The sequence below is a fragment of the Homo sapiens genome, chromosome 1, assembly GCF_000001405.40.
Source record: "Homo sapiens chromosome 1, GRCh38.p14 Primary Assembly".
Lineage (NCBI taxonomy): Eukaryota > Metazoa > Chordata > Mammalia > Primates > Hominidae > Homo > Homo sapiens.
Window position 1 is genome coordinate 228,375,363 of NC_000001.11, and position 18,303 is coordinate 228,393,665.

The window sequence follows — 18,303 nt, forward strand, 5'->3', positions numbered from 1 at the left end:
TGCTTGAACCTGTGCAGGGCAACCCAGTGAAGCCCAGCAGCCCCACCAAGGGCCCTTCTGACCAGAGGCTCGGCCCCTGCACAGGGTTCTGGTCACACCCAGGTGGATGGGCCAGCCCAGGAGTGGGATCTGGCAGGGCAGACACCTCCCCAGCCCCTCGCCAGGAGAGGCCCCTCCTACCATTCCTCACTGTGACTGGACCCTGAATGAACAGGACCAGGGAGGGTGGGCTCCAGAGCCCTGGTGGCTGCCAGGGTGAGGCAGGCGCCAGCCAGATATTGGCCCCTGGAGGCTGGGTGCCCACCCTGGAGTCACTGACCATTGGGCAGTGCCTTGCAGAGCGCCCCTCATCTTCGCCATGCCCGGATATCGGGGAGGTGTACGCGGATGGGGTGCTGCTGGTCTGGAAGCCCGTGGAATCCTACGGCCCTGTGACCTACATTGTGCAGTGCAGCCTAGAAGGTATGAGGTGGCCCCTGTACCCGAGGCTCCGGCCACCCCTCCCGGGAGCCATGTCTAGGGGCCCTTGGGGAGATGCCTGGCCTGCTGTGTTCCCATGGGTGGCCTCAGGGAAGGGTTTCTCCACCCCCACTGACGTGGTGTGTGGAGGCCTCAGTGGCCCCTCACGTGCTCCTGTGTGGCCAGGCGGCAGCTGGACCACACTGGCCTCCGACATCTTTGACTGCTGCTACCTGACCAGCAAGCTCTCCCGGGGTGGCACCTACACCTTCCGCACGGCATGTGTCAGCAAGGCAGGAATGGGTCCCTACAGCAGCCCCTCGGAGCAAGTCCTCCTGGGAGGGCCCAGCCACCTGGGTGAGCCACACCACACTCGGGGCTTGGAGGGTGGGAACAGCAGCTAGAAGACCCAGATTACGCTCCCTCCTGTGCAGGGTCTCCATAGCTGTCCACTTCCTTCTGGGGAGACAGCTGCTCCTGGGCTTGGCATTCGAGGCCTACACACTTTAGGGGCCGCCTCACCCCCAGGCCCCCCCTTCACTCACCTACACTCCCATGCACTCATTGACGAGCACACAAGTCCATTCTGCTTCATTCTGAGTGTTGGTAGTGAGAGTTGGTAGTGACTGGCCTGTGCTGCCTCTAGCTTTGGTGGAGGAATGCTAGGGTTGATTAGTAATGTCTGCCCTGGGCTCAAGGGAGGAAGAGAGGGCATGATTGCTATGGGTGGTCCATTCTCAAATGCCCCTGCAGCCCTCACACACACCCTCACTCAGGTTGCCTCTCACTGCTTGCTGTACCCCCTCCCTGTCCCCATACCCCCAGAACCTGAGGAACAAGAGGTGGGAGTGCGTAACTCAAAGTCCCAGCTGTCAAGGTGCCTGGGAAGGGGTGATGGGAGACGTGGGGAGAGCTGGGGCTGTGGGGATGCCCTCTTCACCCCCTCTTATCATCTGCCCCTCCTCCCACAGCCTCTGAGGAGGAGAGCCAGGGGCGGTCAGCCCAACCCCTGCCCAGCACAAAGACCTTCGCATTCCAGACACAGATCCAGAGGTGCAGTGGCCTGGGGGGCTGCAGGCGGGTGGGGCCAGGGCCTGGACCCCCCCTTGTTGACCACCCATGCCCCCACACCCACCATCTCGCTGAACTGGGCTCCTGCTGCTCTGAGTGTTGGGAATCGGGGAATGGGAGGGGACCACCCACCAGCCTGACCGCTGTCCCCTTGAGCAGGGGCCGCTTCAGCGTGGTGCGGCAATGCTGGGAGAAGGCCAGCGGGCGGGCGCTGGCCGCCAAGATCATCCCCTACCACCCCAAGGACAAGACAGCAGTGCTGCGCGAATACGAGGCCCTCAAGGGCCTGCGCCACCCGCACCTGGCCCAGCTGCACGCAGCCTACCTCAGCCCCCGGCACCTGGTGCTCATCTTGGAGCTGTGCTCTGGGCCCGAGCTGCTCCCCTGCCTGGCCGAGAGGTGAGGGTGGCCTGGGGTGGTGTGGTTGAGCTGATGGACGGACTGATGGACTGATGGACCCAGGCCTCTGGGGTGGGGCTGGAGGACCAGGCCCCTCTGCACAGCCAGTGCCCCTCCCAGTCCACGGGGAGTAGTCTCAGCCCTGGCCCTGGTGGCCCCCACCCCGGAGCCTGGGCTGAGCAGCTTCTGCCCCCCAGGGCCTCCTACTCAGAATCCGAGGTGAAGGACTACCTGTGGCAGATGTTGAGTGCCACCCAGTACCTGCACAACCAGCACATCCTGCACCTGGACCTGAGGTCCGAGAACATGATCATCACCGAATACAACCTGCTCAAGGTCGTGGACCTGGGCAATGCACAGAGCCTCAGCCAGGAGAAGGTGCTGCCCTCAGACAAGTTCAAGGACTACCTAGAGACCATGGGTGCGTGTGTGGACAGTTGGGGGGACCTCACCTGGGGCGGGGGGCAGGAAGAAGCCCCCTCTCCTCCAGTGCTGTCCTCTCTCCCAGCTCCACTGCCACCCACTCAGCCACACACCTGGCCCACACACCTGTGCCCCACCTATCCCACCTGGGACCACTCACTCATGCCCACCACCTGTGTCCCTCCACCTGAGCCCAACCACATGTGCCCCTCCCAGCTCCAGAGCTCCTGGAGGGCCAGGGGGCTGTTCCACAGACAGACATCTGGGCCATCGGTGTGACAGCCTTCATCATGTGAGTCCTCCAACCTGTCTGGGGGTTGCTAGGTGGGCGGGGCAGTCTCCCCCCTCCACCCGAGGGTGACCTCAGGGCCCCTGCACCCCCGTCCACCTGAGGGTGACCTCACGGCCCCTGCACCCTCGTCCACCCGAGGATGACCTCACGGCCCCTGCACCGGCCACCCGAGGGTGACCTCAGTGCTCCTGCATCCCCTCCCCCTCCGCCCTGGTCTACCCAAGGAGGGTGACCTCAGGGCCCGTGCACCCGCCACCTGCGCAGGCTGAGCGCCGAGTACCCGGTGAGCAGCGAGGGTGCACGCGACCTGCAGAGAGGACTGCGCAAGGGGCTGGTCCGGCTGAGCCGCTGCTACGCGGGGCTGTCCGGGGGCGCCGTGGCCTTCCTGCGCAGCACTCTGTGCGCCCAGCCCTGGTAAGGCGCGCCCCTCTCCTCCTCCTTCTCCCCGCCCCCTCCTCCCGTCCCGCCCCCTCCTCCTTCCGTCCCGCCCCGCCCCGCCCCCCCACTCCCTTTCCCCTCGGTACTCTCCCTTCCCCCTCTCCCCTTTTCCACTTGCCTTCCCCACACCCCTCCCGCCGCTGGGCCACGTGCTGAGCCTATGTCCGTCCCAGGGGCCGGCCCTGCGCGTCCAGCTGCCTGCAGTGCCCGTGGCTAACAGAGGAGGGCCCGGCCTGTTCGCGGCCCGCGCCCGTGACCTTCCCTACCGCGCGGCTGCGCGTCTTCGTGCGCAATCGCGAGAAGAGACGCGCGCTGCTGTACAAGAGGCACAACCTGGCCCAGGTGCGCTGAGGGTCGCCCCGGCCACACCCTTGGTCTCCCCGCTGGGGGTCGCTGCAGACGCGCCAATAAAAACGCACAGCCGGGCGAGAAGTCTTCCGTCTCGTTGCATTATTTTCTTTTGGGGAGGAGAGGGAGTGAGGGCTCTGTCCCCGCCTTTCTGGCTGGGGCGCCGATCAGGCTGCCCCGCTGTGTTTGGGCCTGTGAGCCCCTTAGAAGGCGTCCTTAGGGGTCGCTCCCTCACTCCGATGCTCCGCGCGTTCAGCCCCTCGGGGCGTCTCCGTCCTCACACCCATGCGCGTTTATTCCACCCGCCGTGCGCCTTCCTCTCTTCCATCACGCTGACCTGCAGCCCCGCAGCCCGCTTTCTCCGCCGTCGGGCCAGCCGCTTGTTTCCACAACTTCTCTGCCCCGGGAAGAGTTCTTGGGCAAAGCGTGCAAGCGAGGGCGAGAAGCCGCGGGCCACGATCCGCTGGAGGAGAGGAGGCTTCAGAGTCGCTGGCGCGTGGCCTCGGTGAAAAGCAACCCAGTGTTTGAGATTCCATGGGCAATGACTACGCTGGCCGAGCCCCGCCCTGCCCCTTGCCAGGAGTGCAGGAAGCCTGGGCCGTGGGGTGCGCGCGTTGTCTCTCAAACGCTGCTGAATGTCCTTTCTCCTATTCTTTGACGTGGGAAAGGGAACTTGAGATAGGTGCAGCCCAGGAGACCTGGGAGCTGGCAGGGAGGGCCTTCTCCTCTTGCACATAAAACCTTTTGCAGAGGTCCCTCAGACACAAGGCCAGGCCCCTCATACCTATGTCTAAGCATAGATGGAGAGGAGGCTAACCGACCCCTCTTGGCTAAAATGGGTCATGCTGATTCCTGGCCAGCTTAGATTTATGGGGACATCCAGTGATGGAGTTGTCCTGGCTCTCTCTGACAGCATGCAACCCAGAATGAGGCCCGGTTGTTTTAAACACTCCTTTTAATCACCAAAACAGTCAGCTCTTCATAGCATCCTCTTCTCGAGCAGCCCCAGGGTTCCCGGGGTGGGGATATGATCTCCACTGTCCCCAGCAACAAGGCTGACGTTGGACGACAGCTTCGTTCCTGGGGGGCTGGGGCTGCAGGGTGTAGACAGCAGTCTCTACCCTCCTGATTCTCAGCTCATCTCAGGGGCCCAATGACGACCACATGCTGATGGGTCCATTCTGCAATGTCCAAATGCTGAACACCTCCCCTGAAATCTTACTGAGCCCAGGACACTTTGAATCAAAATCCAAGCATCGGCCAGGCACAGTGGCTCACACCTGTAATCCCAGCACTTTGGGAGGCTGAGGTAGGAGGATCACTGGAGCCCAGGAGTTCAAGACAAGCCTGGGCAATAATAGGGAGACTCTTGTCTCTACAAAAAATAAAAAATTAGCTTGGCATGGTGGTGCATGCCACCAGCATGGTACCAGCTACTCGGGAGGTGAGCCCAGAGGTCAAGGCTGCAGTGAGCTGTGATTGTGCCACTGCACTCTAGCCTGGACCACAGAGCAAGACCCTGTCTCTAAAAAGAAAACAAACATCTTCTAACTTGAACTGACTGCCCTCACTCCCTCTGCCCCCACACTGCCTCTGACTTTACCTTCCTCCTCCTTTACGACCTCCTGAGAGTCAGCATGTCACCACTCAATGCATCACAAAGGGTACAGGCACCGTGCACTCACTTTCCCAGGACACTGATGTCAGGGCGGGGTGGGGGGGAAGGTAGTATCTTTTCCTCACCCATTGCAAGGCGCATGGATGAACCTTGCACGTATGGCCCCAATCACAAAGACAGGTTAATAAGATAAAGCATGACACACATCTATTTAACAAAAGGTTTTATGTGACAAGTGAGCCTTCAGAAACAAAAACCCAAAGAAACAGGCAAATCTGTCTATTTTTTATGCTTGGGTTTGATGAAGAATGAACAGTCATGTAAAAATATGCTTAGACAAAAAGCAGGTGCAACTTAATGGTAATAAACTGGGGGCAACTTGCCAAGGCCCGTTTGTTCAGATTCTTCTTGGCCTCTGGAATGAGGATCCTATGACCCGCTTTTGGGGGAGGTAGGTCAGAGAATTCTCTTATGGCTTCCTTCAAGGCAGAAAAGCAGGAGACGGTCAGAGAGACACAATTTCCTTCAGCTTGAGATACTCAGCATGCCAAGGTGCCGTAATTTGGGGTATTGCATTCTGAGCCCCATCACTGACATCTCACAAAACTGTAGTACAATATGACGACCATTAAGACTGGTACAGTCAAGACAGAGAACATTTCCATCTCGAGGAAACCCTTATGCTGCCCAAAAAGGCATAAAAATAACCACATCCACTTTCCTCCCACAGTAACACTCCTTAACCCTGGCACCCAACAATTTGTTCTGCACTAATATAACTTTGTCATTTTAGGAACGTTCTATAAATGGAATAATCCTATATGTGGTATCTTTTGCCTGACATCTCTGGAAATTCATGAAGACTGCTGTATGTGTCAATAGTTCATTCCTTTGTATTGCTGCAGAATATTCCATGTTACGGATGCACCACTGTTTGTTTAACCACTTATCCATTGAAGGACATTTGGGTCATTCCCAGTTTTGGGCAATTACAAATAAAGCTGCTATAATCATTCATGTACACAGGTTGCTGTGTGACTGTAAATCTTTATTACTCTAGGATAAATGCCCAAGAATGCAATGGCTGCGTCGTGTTGTCATTTCATTGGCCAGCTTTATATCCTCATGGGTGAAATATCCATTCATGTCTTTTGCCCATTTTCTAACCAGATGGTTTGTTTACTTAAATGTTGAGGATGAAGAGTTCTGTGTATATTCTGGAGACCAGCCATTTGCCATATATGTGGTTTTCAAATATGTTCTCCCACTTTTGGGCTTGTCTTTTCTTCCTCCTAACAGAGCCTTTTGTCTTTTTTGAGGCAGCATTTCAGTCTGTTGCCCAGGCTGGAGTGCAGTGGCACAACCATGGCCCATTGCAGTCTTGAACTCCTGGGCTCAAGAAATCCTCCCACCTCAGGCTCCTGAGTAGCTGGAACTAAAGGTGTATGCCATCACATCTGGCTAATTTACTTTTTTTTTTTTTTTTTTTAGAGATGGGGTCTCACTATGTTGCCCAGGCTGGTCTCAAACTCCTGGGCTCAAGAGATTTTCCCACCTCAGCCTCCCAAAGTGCTGGGATTACAGGCGTGAGCCACCTCACCTTAACAGGGTCTTTCACAGGGCAAAAGTTGTTAAAAAAGTTTTAAGCTGTGATAAAATACACATAACATTTATCATTCAACCATTTTCAAGTATACAGTTCTTTTTTTTTTTTTTTTGAGACAGAGTCTTGCTCTGTTGCCCAGGCTGGAGTGCAGTGGCACAATCTCGGCTCACTGCAACCTCCGCCTCCTGGGTTCAAGCAGTTCTCCTGCCTCAGCCTCCCAAGTAGCTGTCACTACAGGCATGTGCCACCAAACCCAGCTAATTTTTTGTATTTTTGGTAGAGACAGGGTTTCACCATGTTGGCCAGGTTGTTCTCAAACTCCTGACCTCAGGTGATCCGCCTGCCTCGGCCTCCCAAAATGCTGGGATTACAGGCATGAGCCACCGTGCCCAGCCAAGTGTACAGTTCTGTATTTTTAATTATATTCACATGTGGTGCAACCATTATCATCGTCCATCTCCAGAACTCTTCATCTTGCAAAACTGAAACTCTGTCCTCATTAAAACCCATTCTCCCTCCTCCCAGGCCCTGGTAGCCCCTATTCTACTTTCTGTCGTTATGAACTTGACTTCCTTTGATACCTCACGTAAGGAGAATGCTGTGGCATTTGCCTTCTGTGACCAGCTTATCTCACTTAGCATAGTGTCTTCCAGGTTCATCCATGGTGGTTTTGCTTGATTGCAAGACTAGGCTGTGCAGTGCCAACATTCAGACTGATCAGGAGTTCCCGAATAGTTCTCAGGGCTGTTTTATTGCTCACAGGTCTCACTCATATTGGGGGAGTCAGAAAATCACAGTGGATAAGGGGGAAGGACAAAATGTGTTTGAACCAGAGCAAGAACTGTAGGAATGAGCATGAGTCGCCATAGGAGTTGCTGGACCGTCCACTCAGAGAGTTATGTGTGAAATAAACATGGTCTGAATCTGAAACCCCTCAAGGACCAGAACACTGGACACATAGTATGGATTAGGTCTGTGTCTCTTCTCCCAAGTAACTTTCCAGTAAGGACAAATACAACATAGCCTGGGCACCAACCAACCAAAATGATGGTGAATAATAACAATTAACACTAACAACAGGGCTTAACACCATTTATAGTGCCTGTTATGCTTTAGGCATTACTGCAGGGAAATTACTCATATTATCCTAATATATCAAAACTATACAAGGGAAAAGCTCTCTTAAATGGCGTTTCTCCTCTGCTCTCACACCACAGCAGCAATCAACACAGAAGAAGATTCTGTGGCCAAACCTGTGAGGTTTCTCCCCACCACCAAGCAGCAGACACCAGCTGGGTGTCCTCAGTCCAATTCCAACACTGTCTACCTGGAGATAGTGTCAGACCCCACAGGATTGGGGCTCACTTCCCAAGACTGCCCCCCACACAGACACCAGTCAAAAGTCCAGGCCTCTGGAACATCTGACCAACTGGCTTTAAGTTGGGGTTCCCACAAACCCCTGTTTGGGTTCCATTAATATGCTACAGCGGCTCACAGAACTCAGTGAAACACTTACTTATGTTTACTGCTTTATTAAGAAGGATGTTACAAAGGATACAGACACATAGGGCAAAGTATGAAGGAAGGAAGAGGCGTGGAGCCACCCTGCCCTCCCTGGGCGTACCGTTTCCCAGGAACCTCCACATGTTCAGCTACCCGGAAGCTCTCTGAACCCAGTCCTTTTGGATTATGGAAGCTTTGTTACATAGGCATGATTGATTAAACCATTGGCCATTGGTGAACAACTTGACCTTCAGCCCCTATCCCTTCCCTGGAGATTGGGTGTGGGGCTGAAAGTCCCAACTCTCTACTCCTGCCTTTGTCTTTCCAGGGACCAGCCCCACCCTGGAACCTATCAGACAAAAGGTATTCTAAAGAAAACACTTCGGCGATCCCAAGGATTTTATGAGTTAAGAGCCAATAACTGTGGGTGAAAATCTATCAATCAATCTATCTATCTATCTATCTATCTATCTATCTATCTATATAAAATCACAACAACTTAGTATCTAGGAAACAGAAAGCTATGGCAATAAAAGGCAAAATTGATAACTGGTACATTGGTAATCATAGTAGAAGATTTTAATATATTGTGTTTAGAAATCAATAGGTCAGATATATAAAAATCAATCAATTTCTGTAACTATTGATGGCATCACTGGAAACATTTATGTGATAGACAGGAAGATAGGTAGATAGTACTTTGAAACCAGCAAATGAAGGATTCATATTACTTTCAGATATCCAGAGGCCAGCCACATAAATGACCCAGGCATTGGGTCAAAATCCTCTCAAAGTGGAGATCATACAGCCCACATTTCCTGGCCACTGTGAAATGACATTAGTCACTGTCAATCAAAGAATAAACAGCAAGTTATAGCTAGCTACTTGGACATTTTAGAAAACATCCTAAATAATTTCTCTATTAAATGGGAAAACCAAACTAATAATTAATTTTTTTTTTTTTTTTTTTTTTTTTTTTTTTTTTTTTTGAGACGGAGTCTCGCTCTGTCGCCCAGGCTGGAGTGCAGTGGCGGGATCTCGGCTCACTGCAAGCTCCGCCTCCCGGGTTCACGCCATTCTCCTGCCTCAGCCTCCCAAGTAGCTGGGACTACAGGCGCCCGCCACTACGCCCGGCTAATTTTTTGTATTTTTAGTAGAGACGGGGTTTCACCGTTTTAGCTGGGATGGTCTCGATCTCCTGACCTCGTGATCCGCCCGCCTCGGCCTCCCAAAGTGCTGGGATTACAGGCGTGAGCCACCGCGCCCGGCCTAATAATTAATTTTAAAGAGGTATCCTAAGGAGGAAGGAAGGAGGCTGGCAGCAAAGGACATTCCTTTATTTCCCCAGCTCTAGGAATTCTTAGTTCAATGTTGGGAAAATAATTTATTCTGGTCATAACAGGTTTCCTTTGGTAACATGAAAATGAGATTACTACAGAACATAGAACATTAAGTTAAAAATTCAAGTTTTTAAAATCATACCATGCAAATTTTTACTACCATATGGTATAGAAACAGATAGCATTCAAAATGCAAATAATTGGCCTATCTCCTGAGACTCTGCATTCTGTATCCAAAGGTTGATGTGTCTTCAACACAGAGGTCCTCATGCTCACCTGCAGATAAGGATACTGGTACCTTGGGCAACTGGGCTAAGAGATAAGATAGGTAGATAGATATACACAGATATAAATATATGATAGAGATATAAAGATACAGATAGAGGCAGATATAGAAATGATAGATGATATGATAGAGATCTAGAAGATAGAGAAGATAAATAGATGATATAGGTAGAGATAGAGACAAAGATATATTGAAAAATAGATAATAGAGCTATAGAAGATAGATATCTACAGATATAGATAAATGGATTGATAGAGATAGAAGATAGACACAGATAGGTAGCTAGATATGCTAGATAGAGATATGGATGGATGGATATAAATACTACAGATAGAAGAGATAGGTATAGAGATAGAAGATAGAGACAGAGTTAGATGATAGGTAGATGTAATAGAATAGATAGACATGATAGATATACAGAGATACAGAAGATAGAGATGTAGAGATAGATATACAAAGATAGATAGTTAGATAGATGCATACATTTAAGGCAACTGCATAATTTAGAGTATGTTCTCTGCCCATAACATAATTAAATTGAAAACCAGTAACCAGTTAAATATATCTGAAAAATCTCCAAGTGTTTGACATAAACAATACACTTCCAAGTAATCCATGAGTCAGAGAAGAAATGACAAAGGAGACCAAATGAGAATGAAAAAAAACTATGTCAAAATTTGTGCGATATAAAAATGAATCAAACAGGAATTCAGCTGAGGAATACAATAAGTGGACTGAAAAGTTCACTAGAGGAATTCAAGAGTAGACTTGATCAAATAGAAAAATCAGCAAACTCAAAGACAGGTCATTTAAAATTATCCAGTTAGAGGAGCAAAAAAATAATAATAAAAAGGAATAAAGAAAGCCTAAGGGAATCCTAGAACAGAGAGAGAAAGGGGCAGAATGCTTATTTAAAGAAATAATGCCCTAAAAACCAAAAAAGAAATAATGCCTTAAAACTCCCCAAATCTGGGGAGGCAAATAAACATCTAGATTTGTGAAGTCTAAACGGCCCCCAATATGATAAACCAAAGAAGTCTACACTAAGACACATTATAATCAGATTGCCAAAGTCAAAGACAAAAAGAGAATTTTGAAAGCAGCATGAGGAAAGTGACATACATGGGAGCTCCAATCAGATTACTGGGGGACTTCTCAGCAGAAACCTTGCAGGCTGAAAGAGAGTGGGATAGTATTTTCAAAGTGCTGAAGGAAAAAAAAACTGCTAACCAAGAATCTTATTCCTAGCAAAGCTTTCATTTGAAAATAAAGGCAAGATGAAGACTTTCCCAGACAAACAAAAGCTGAGGGAGTTCATCACCACTAGACCTTCTTTACAAGAAATGCTAAATGGCATTTTCCCACCTAACAGCCGAGCAAACATGAACAGAACTAAAGGAAGAAACAATAACACAATAATAGTAAGAGATTTCAATACCCCACTTTCAATAATGAATAGAACAACCAGAAGATCAATAAGCAAACAGAAAACTTGAACAACATTATACACCAATTAGATCTAAAAGACACATACAAATATTCTACCTAACAACAGCAGAAGACGCATTCTTCTCAAGCACATAGGGAACATTCTCAAGATAAACCACGTTGGGCCACAAAACAAGTATTAATAAATTTAGGAAGATTGGAATCGCCTCATAAACATACACACACCTGACAACAGAGTCTCAAAATCCATGAGGCAAAAGCTATCAGAACTAAAGGGAAAAATGGACAATTCAACAATAATGGTTAATGATTCCAATAGCACTTCCTCAATAATGAACAAAATAACTAGAAAAAATGACCAAGAATATAGAAGACTTACAAAACACTATCAGCCAATTGGGCAAAACTGACATCCATAAATGTTCTGTGTTTTCTTTTTTTTTTTGAGACGGAGTTTCGCTCTTGTTGCCCAGGCTGGAGTGCAACGGCATGATCTTGGCTCACTGCAACATCCGCCTCCCAGGTTCAAGCAATTCTCCTGCCTCAGCCTCCCTAGTAGCTGGGATTACAGGCACGCACCACCATGCCTGGCTAATTTTTTGTATTTAGTAGAGATGGGATTTTACTATGTTGGTCAGGCTGGTCTCGAACTCCTGGGCTCAGGCAATCTGCCTGCCTTGGCCTCCCAAAGTGCTGGAATTACAGGTGTGAGCCATCATGCCTGGCCACAACTGTGTGTTCTAAGATTCTAGATTTGTCTATTTGGCAACCTGTCATCACAGTGCCAACTGTATTCACTATATATTTTTATTTTCTATATTCTTGTTGCTCTGAACATGTGGCCTAGATGGCAGGGGAGAGACAGCCTCCTCCTCCCAGGGCAGGCCATTTCTCAGAGACAGCCAGAGGGCTTGCCCAGAACCACACCTTTAACCTTCAGACCAACCAATCCAGAGCCCAGATCCCAACAAGCTCCTTATCAAACCCTCAGCACAAGCCAATATGCCTAAATTAACCCAGGGCCAGGCACCTGGCAGCTAGGGATGGTCTCTGAGCCCAAAGCCCACCAGAATTATAGAGTCACCAGTCCTAAGTGTTACCCTGTCCTGCCTTGTCTTTCCCACAGAAATCCCATCAAAGGTTCTGGCCCAGGCTTGCCCCTGCTCCTTTATACCCCCTGGCTGACCCTGGTGTTTCCTCAGGTGGCCCTGGTGTCCTGGCATGCTCCTTCTCTTGGGAAAAGTAAGTGATAAATTCTTCTTTCTTTTTTTTTTTTTTTCTCTTTTTGAGATGGAGTCTCGCTCTTTCACCTAGGCTGGAGTGCATGGTGTGATCTTGGCTCACTGCAACCTCTGCCTTCCAGGTTCAAGTGATTCTCCTGCCTCCTAAGTAGCTGAGATTATAGGTGTGTGCCACCACCCCAGACTAATTTTTGTATTTTTAGTAGAGACAGGGTTTCAACATGTTAGCCAGGCTGGTCTCAAACTCCTGACCTCAAGTGATCTGCCTGCCTCGGCCTCCCAAAGTGCTGGGATTACAGATGTGTGCCACAATGCCCAGCCATAAATTCTTCTTTCAATAACATTAGGCTCTCCATGTTGTCATTCAGTCATCTCCATAAATTAAACTCTCGTGGGTATAGTCATGGACAGAACAGAACCCTCCAATGGATAACAGCAGAATGAATGTTCTTCCCAATGCACGTGGAGCCTTCTCCGGATTGGCAATCCACTAGGCTGTAAAACCGGTCTCAGCTGACACCACACAAAGAACATTTTCTGACCAAAATGGAGTTTAATTAAAGTCAACAATAGAAGGAAACTTGGAAAATTTACAAATATTTGAAAATTAAACAATGCACTTTAAAATAAACTGTGTGTCAAAGAAGAAATCTCAAACACAATTAGGAAGTATTTTGGCCAAGTGAAAATGAAAATGGCATACTGAAAGTCATGGGGTGCAGCTCAAGTAGTGCCTAAAGGGAAATGTATAGCCATAAATCCCTGCATTAGAAAAGAAGAGGCTGGGCGGCTTACGCCTGTAAGCCCAGCACTTTGGGAGGCCAAGGCGGGTGGATAACTTGAGGTCAGGGGTTTGAGACCAGCCTAGCCAACGTGGTGAAAACCCGTCTCTACTAAAAATACAAAAATTAGCTGGGTATGGTGGCAGGCACCTGTAATCCCAGCTGCTTGGGAAGCTGAGGCAGAAGAATTGCTTGAACCTGGGAGGCAGAGGTTGCAGTGAGCAGAGATCATGCCATTGCACTACAGCCTGGGTGACAAGAGCAAAACTCCATCTCAAAAAAAAAAAAAAAAAAGAAAAAAGAAGAAAGGGTTGGGTGTTGGCTCATGCCTGTAATCCCAACACTTTGGGAGGCCGAGGCAGGTGGATCACCTGAGATCAGGAGTTCAAGACCAGCCTGGCCAACATGGCGAAACCCCATCTCTACTAAAAATACAAAAATTAGCTGGGTGTGGTGGTGCACACCTGTAATCCCAGCTACTCAGGAGGCTGAGGCAGGAGACTCCCTTGAACCCAGGGGCAGAGGTTGCAGTGAGCCCAGATTGCACCACTGCACTCCAACCTGGGCGACAAGAGTGAGACTCCACCTCAAAAATAAATAAATAGAAAAGAAGAAAGATCAGAAATCAATAACCTAAGCTTCTTTTTTTTTTGAGATGGAGTCTCCCTCTGTTGCCAGGCTGGAGTGCAGTGGCGTGATCTCTCGGCTCACTGCAATCTCTGCCTCCCAGGTTCAAGTGATTCCCCTGCCTCAGCCTCCCGAGTAGCTGGGATTACAGGCACGCGCCACCACGCCTGGCTAATTTTTTGTATTTTAGTAGAGACCAGGTTTCACCATATTGGCTAGGATGGTCTCAATCTCCTGACCTCGTGATCCACTTGCCTGGGCCTCCCAAAGTGCTGGGATTACAGGCATGACCCACCGTGCCTGGCCTAAGCTTCAATTTTAAGAAAGCAGAAAAAGGCTGGGTGCAGTGGTTCATGTCTTCAATCCCAGTGCTTTGGGAGGCTGAGGTGGGAGGATTGCTTAAGCCTAGCAGATAGAAGTTGCAGTGAGCTTTGATCATGCCACTAGACTCCAGCCTGGGCAACAGAAAGAGACCCTGTATCCCCAAAAAAAAAAAAAAAAAAAAAAAAAAAAAGAGGCTGGGCACAGTGGCTCACACCTGTAATGCCAACATTTTGGGGAGGCCGAGGAGGGAGGATTACTGGAGTCCAGGAGTTTGGGACCAGCCTGGGCAACACAGGGAGACCCTGTCTCTACAAAAAAATTTAAAAATTAGCTGGGCATGGTGGTGTGCACTGGTGGTCCTAGCTACTTAGGAGGCTGAGGTGGGAAGGCTGCTTGAGCCCGCTGCAGATTGAGACTTGCAGTGGCCACAGACTGAGAGACTGAGACTTGCAGTGAGCTGAGATCATGCCACTGCACTCCAGCCTGGGCTACAGAATGAGATGCTATCTCAAAAAAAAAGAGGAGCAAACTAAACTCAAAGCATGAAAAATAAAGAAAACAATAAAGAGGAAGGTGAAAATTATTGAAATAAAAAACAGAAACATAATAGAGAAAATTAAATGCAACAAAAAGTTGTGGCCGTGTGCTGTGGCTCACGCCTGTAATCCCAGCACTTTGGGAGGCTGAGGTGGGTGGATCATGAGGTCAGGAGTTCGAGGCCAGCCTGGCAATATGGAGAAATCCTGTCTCTACTAAAAATGCAAAAATTAGCCAGGCATGGTGGCACATGCCTGTAGTCCCAGCTACTTGAGAGGCTGAGGAAGAAGAATTGCTTGAACCTGGGAGGCGGAGGTTGCAGTGAGCCGAGATTGTGGCACTGCACTCCAGCCTGGGCAAAAGAGCAAGACTGTTTCAAAAAAAGAAAAAAAATCAATTTGTGACCAAACGTTAGTTTTACTGACCAAGAGAAAATAAGCAAATATCTAGAAAGACAAAAGTTACCAAAACTGACATAACAAATGAACTATCTGACCAGTCCCATAACAAGTAAAGCAATTGAGCTAGTAATTTAAAATCCACTACAAGGGAAAGGCTGGGATCACACGGCTTCACTGGAGATTACAGAATATTAAATAAAGGGAGAAAGCGACCCTCCCAAACTCTTTCAGGACAGTGGGGGAGGGCGCTTCCTAACTCAGGAGTCCAGCATCACCCTGGTACCAAAGCCACACAAACACACCACGAAAACACTATGGACCACAGCCCAGTGGGTGGCTCAGGCCTGTAGTCCCAGCAACCGGGGAGGCAGGCGGGAGGATCGTTTGAGGCTGGGGGTTCGAGACCTCTGGGAAACATAGTGAGACCCCGTCCTTTTAGAAAACTGCAGAGCAATATCCCTCACGAGTACAGGTGTAAAAATCTTGAAGTATTAGTGAACTGCAATAGAGCAAGACAGTAAAAGGACCAAGTGGGATTTACCCCAGGAACCTAAGACTGGTTCAGTGGTGGAAAAGCAGGTAATGAAATATGCTATATTAGGAGACTAGAAATAGGCCAGAGGCGTGTTTCTGAGGAATGAAAATGTTCTAAAATTGAATCATGACAACGGTGGATTTAGTAAAAATCATTTTAATGGTACACTTGAAATAGCTGAATTTTACTGCGTGAAAACTATACCACAATTAAGTTGTTACAAAAAGTCAGGGTGGTCGGGAGAGGTGACTCCGGGCTGGGGAGGGCAGGGTAGGGCAGGGAAAGCACAGGGATCCGGGGCACGGCGGGGACAAAGCTCCACACCAGCACCAGGAGGCCTTCCTCCAGATGGCAGGGTTGCCCAAGCGAACACAGGGCACCTGGGAAGGGACAGGACATGGGAGGCGTGGAAGCAAACAGGGTGTGCGGGGCTTCTCTGGGTGCCTGGAGTGCACGGGGCTGGGTGTGGGGTGACCAGAGGCTCCGGGCACTGCTAACATGGGAGGCAATGGGCTCCGTGGCCACCCAGGGCATAAGGGGATCTAGGGTGCGTGGGTGACCCATGGGCCCTGGGGGGTCTGCTCACTGGGAGGCTGCAGGTGTGGGAGGATGGCATTGGGCACACAGGGGGCATGTGGTGGGCAAGGGTGAGATGGGGAGGGTGCAGCATGCAAGATGGGCACTGGGGTGCAGGGGGCTCAAGGGCGCAGGGGGGCACCAGGACGGTTGGGTGCTGCACAGGTGGTGCTGGGCACCCTGCATGCAGCCCACGGCATGACAATGTCCCGCAGCTCTTGGGACATCATGGGCACTCTGAGGGTGGCCAGCTACTGTCAGGTGGGCACAGCAGGTGTGGAGGAGAACATGCAATGGGAGCCTGCACAACAACCCTGTCTTTGGACCATGCTTGACGGTGCATTGGTGATGTACTGTGCAGACCTCCAGACCTGGTCCCATTGCAGAGGGCCTAATCTCATTCATGAGGGCACCACTTTCATGAACTAATTACATCCCCAAAGCCCCATCTCCTCATAACATGAACTTGCGGTGAGGATTTCAACATATGAATTTGGGGGAACCTAAATATTTGGTCAACTGCAAGCTGCACACAGTGGGGCTCCCTGACAGTGCAGGACACAGTTGTTCAGGCCGTTCACTGTCACCTCCTCTGAGAGACTGGCTCCCTGCTCAGGGTCCTGCATGTTCCCATCATCTTTCCACTGCCTGGAAGCATGGGTGACACCCACAGGGCCTCAGCACTCAGCAGGGGGACATCCGGAAAGATGAGTCATGAAGTCTGCCCTTCTCTTATGGAGTGTGCAGCTTTATTTTAAAGCTATGGCCAGAACTATCCTGGGTGCACACCCGTGGTCTCACCCACAAGGCTGCCCCCGGCTGTTACCACCAGCCAGATGGGCTCTCCGCTCTTTGCTCAGGTGTATGGTCCTTATGTGGAGCTGCTGAAGGAATTGTTTTTTGAGATAACCTGGTAAATGTTTCGTGTTCCACTGTGCTTCATTACAGTCTCCTGAGTATCATTTATTTAGTCATTCTCCCATTCTTGTCTTTTTTTTTGGTAGGGGGATAGGTGGCATTACCTAATACCATGTTGAACAAGATCAGCAATTCTGAGGTGGCGGGGGCTGCCTCACTCCAGGAGGCACAAACGCAGCAGACGGAGTCTTCAATTGGAGGGAAGCCCTGGACACAGCCGCTTGGAAACAGGCTATGGCAATACTCACCGCACCAGGCCTGGTGGCTCAGCCTGAAATCCCAGCACTTTGGAGGCCAAGATGGGTAGATCGCTTGAGCCCAGGAGTTTGAGACCAGCCTGGCCAATAGTGAGATTCCCACCTCTCCAAAAAAAAAAAAAATTAGTTGGGTATGGTGGTGTGCGCCTGTAGTCCCTCCCAGCTACTTGGGAGGCTGAGGCAGGAGGATCTCTTGAGCCCAGGAGTTCAATACCAGCTTGTATAACATGGCAAAACCCCATCTTTACAAAAATTAGCTGGGCATGGCCCCATCTGTAGCGTGCACCTGTAGTCCCAGCTACCCGAAAGGCTGAGGTGTGAGGATCAGCTGAGCCTGGGAAGTCGAGGCTGCAGTGAGTGAGCCGTGATTGCACCACTGCACTCCAGCATGGGTGACCCTGTCTCAAAAAACAACAAACAAACAAACAAAAACCCCACCCCAACACAGAGAAATGCCCAGTCCCCTGGTTTCCACTCAGACTTCTCTTTGTTGCAGCTGAATGAAACTGCTGATCTTGTTCAACATGGTATTACATAATGCCCCCCCAGGCCCCTGCCAAAAAAAAGACAAGAATGGGAGAGTGACTGAATAAATGATAATCAGGAGACTACTCGTTAAGCACAATGGAATGCAGGAAACATTTACCAGGATATCTCGAAAAAAACATTCCGGCAATAGCTCCACATAAGGAACATATATATTGAGCACAGAAAGTGGAGAGCCCATCTGTGCCTGGGTGTGGGAAGTGGCTGCCCGTCCCGGCCCTTACTTTGCCTGAGCTTCCCGCCTGCCCCGTCAACAGCCTCCCTGGGGCTCTGCCCTCTGCTGGGCAGTGGGGCACCCGCTATTGTTCCTGGACTAAGCAGGCACCA

The 18,303-nt window shown here is 50.1% G+C and overlaps 1 protein-coding gene across 3 annotated transcripts in view, besides 3 other annotated features; it reads left to right on the forward strand.

Moving 5' to 3' along the window:
- OBSCN (obscurin, cytoskeletal calmodulin and titin-interacting RhoGEF) overlaps window positions 1–3,514 on the forward strand; it is a 170,833-nt gene extending 167,319 nt beyond the window's left edge. The window contains exons 109-116 of one of the 3 annotated variants that reach the window (NM_001386125.1): window positions 340–462; window positions 646–816; window positions 1,431–1,512; window positions 1,690–1,929; window positions 2,127–2,350; window positions 2,569–2,644; window positions 2,909–3,058; window positions 3,256–3,514. In NM_001386125.1, coding sequence (NP_001373054.1) covers window positions 340–462; window positions 646–816; window positions 1,431–1,512; window positions 1,690–1,929; window positions 2,127–2,350; window positions 2,569–2,644; window positions 2,909–3,058; window positions 3,256–3,433 — 1,244 coding nt within the window. In that variant the 3' untranslated portion in view covers window positions 3,434–3,514. The remainder of the gene's footprint in view (window positions 1–339; window positions 463–645; window positions 817–1,430; window positions 1,513–1,689; window positions 1,930–2,126; window positions 2,351–2,568; window positions 2,645–2,908; window positions 3,059–3,255) is intronic. The other 2 variants (NM_001271223.3, NM_001098623.2) reach the window with 2 other exon arrangements.
- Window positions 3,236–3,305: an enhancer, noted in NCBI's record as "active region_2693". NCBI's record gives its function as "activates an Ori minimal core promoter by ATAC-STARR-seq in GM12878 lymphoblastoid cells {active_cell/tissue: GM12878}" and the evidence as "EXISTENCE:reporter gene assay evidence [ECO:0000049][PMID:35858748]".
- Window positions 15,629–16,185: an enhancer, noted in NCBI's record as "H3K4me1 hESC enhancer chr1:228578692-228579248 (GRCh37/hg19 assembly coordinates)". NCBI's record gives its function as "activates a minimal SCP1, AML or CMV promoter by ChIP-STARR-seq in primed H9 embryonic stem cells {active_cell/tissue: H9 hESC(primed)}" and the evidence as "EXISTENCE:reporter gene assay evidence [ECO:0000049][PMID:30033119]".
- Window positions 16,186–16,741: an enhancer, noted in NCBI's record as "H3K4me1 hESC enhancer chr1:228579249-228579804 (GRCh37/hg19 assembly coordinates)". NCBI's record gives its function as "activates a minimal SCP1, AML or CMV promoter by ChIP-STARR-seq in primed H9 embryonic stem cells {active_cell/tissue: H9 hESC(primed)}" and the evidence as "EXISTENCE:reporter gene assay evidence [ECO:0000049][PMID:30033119]".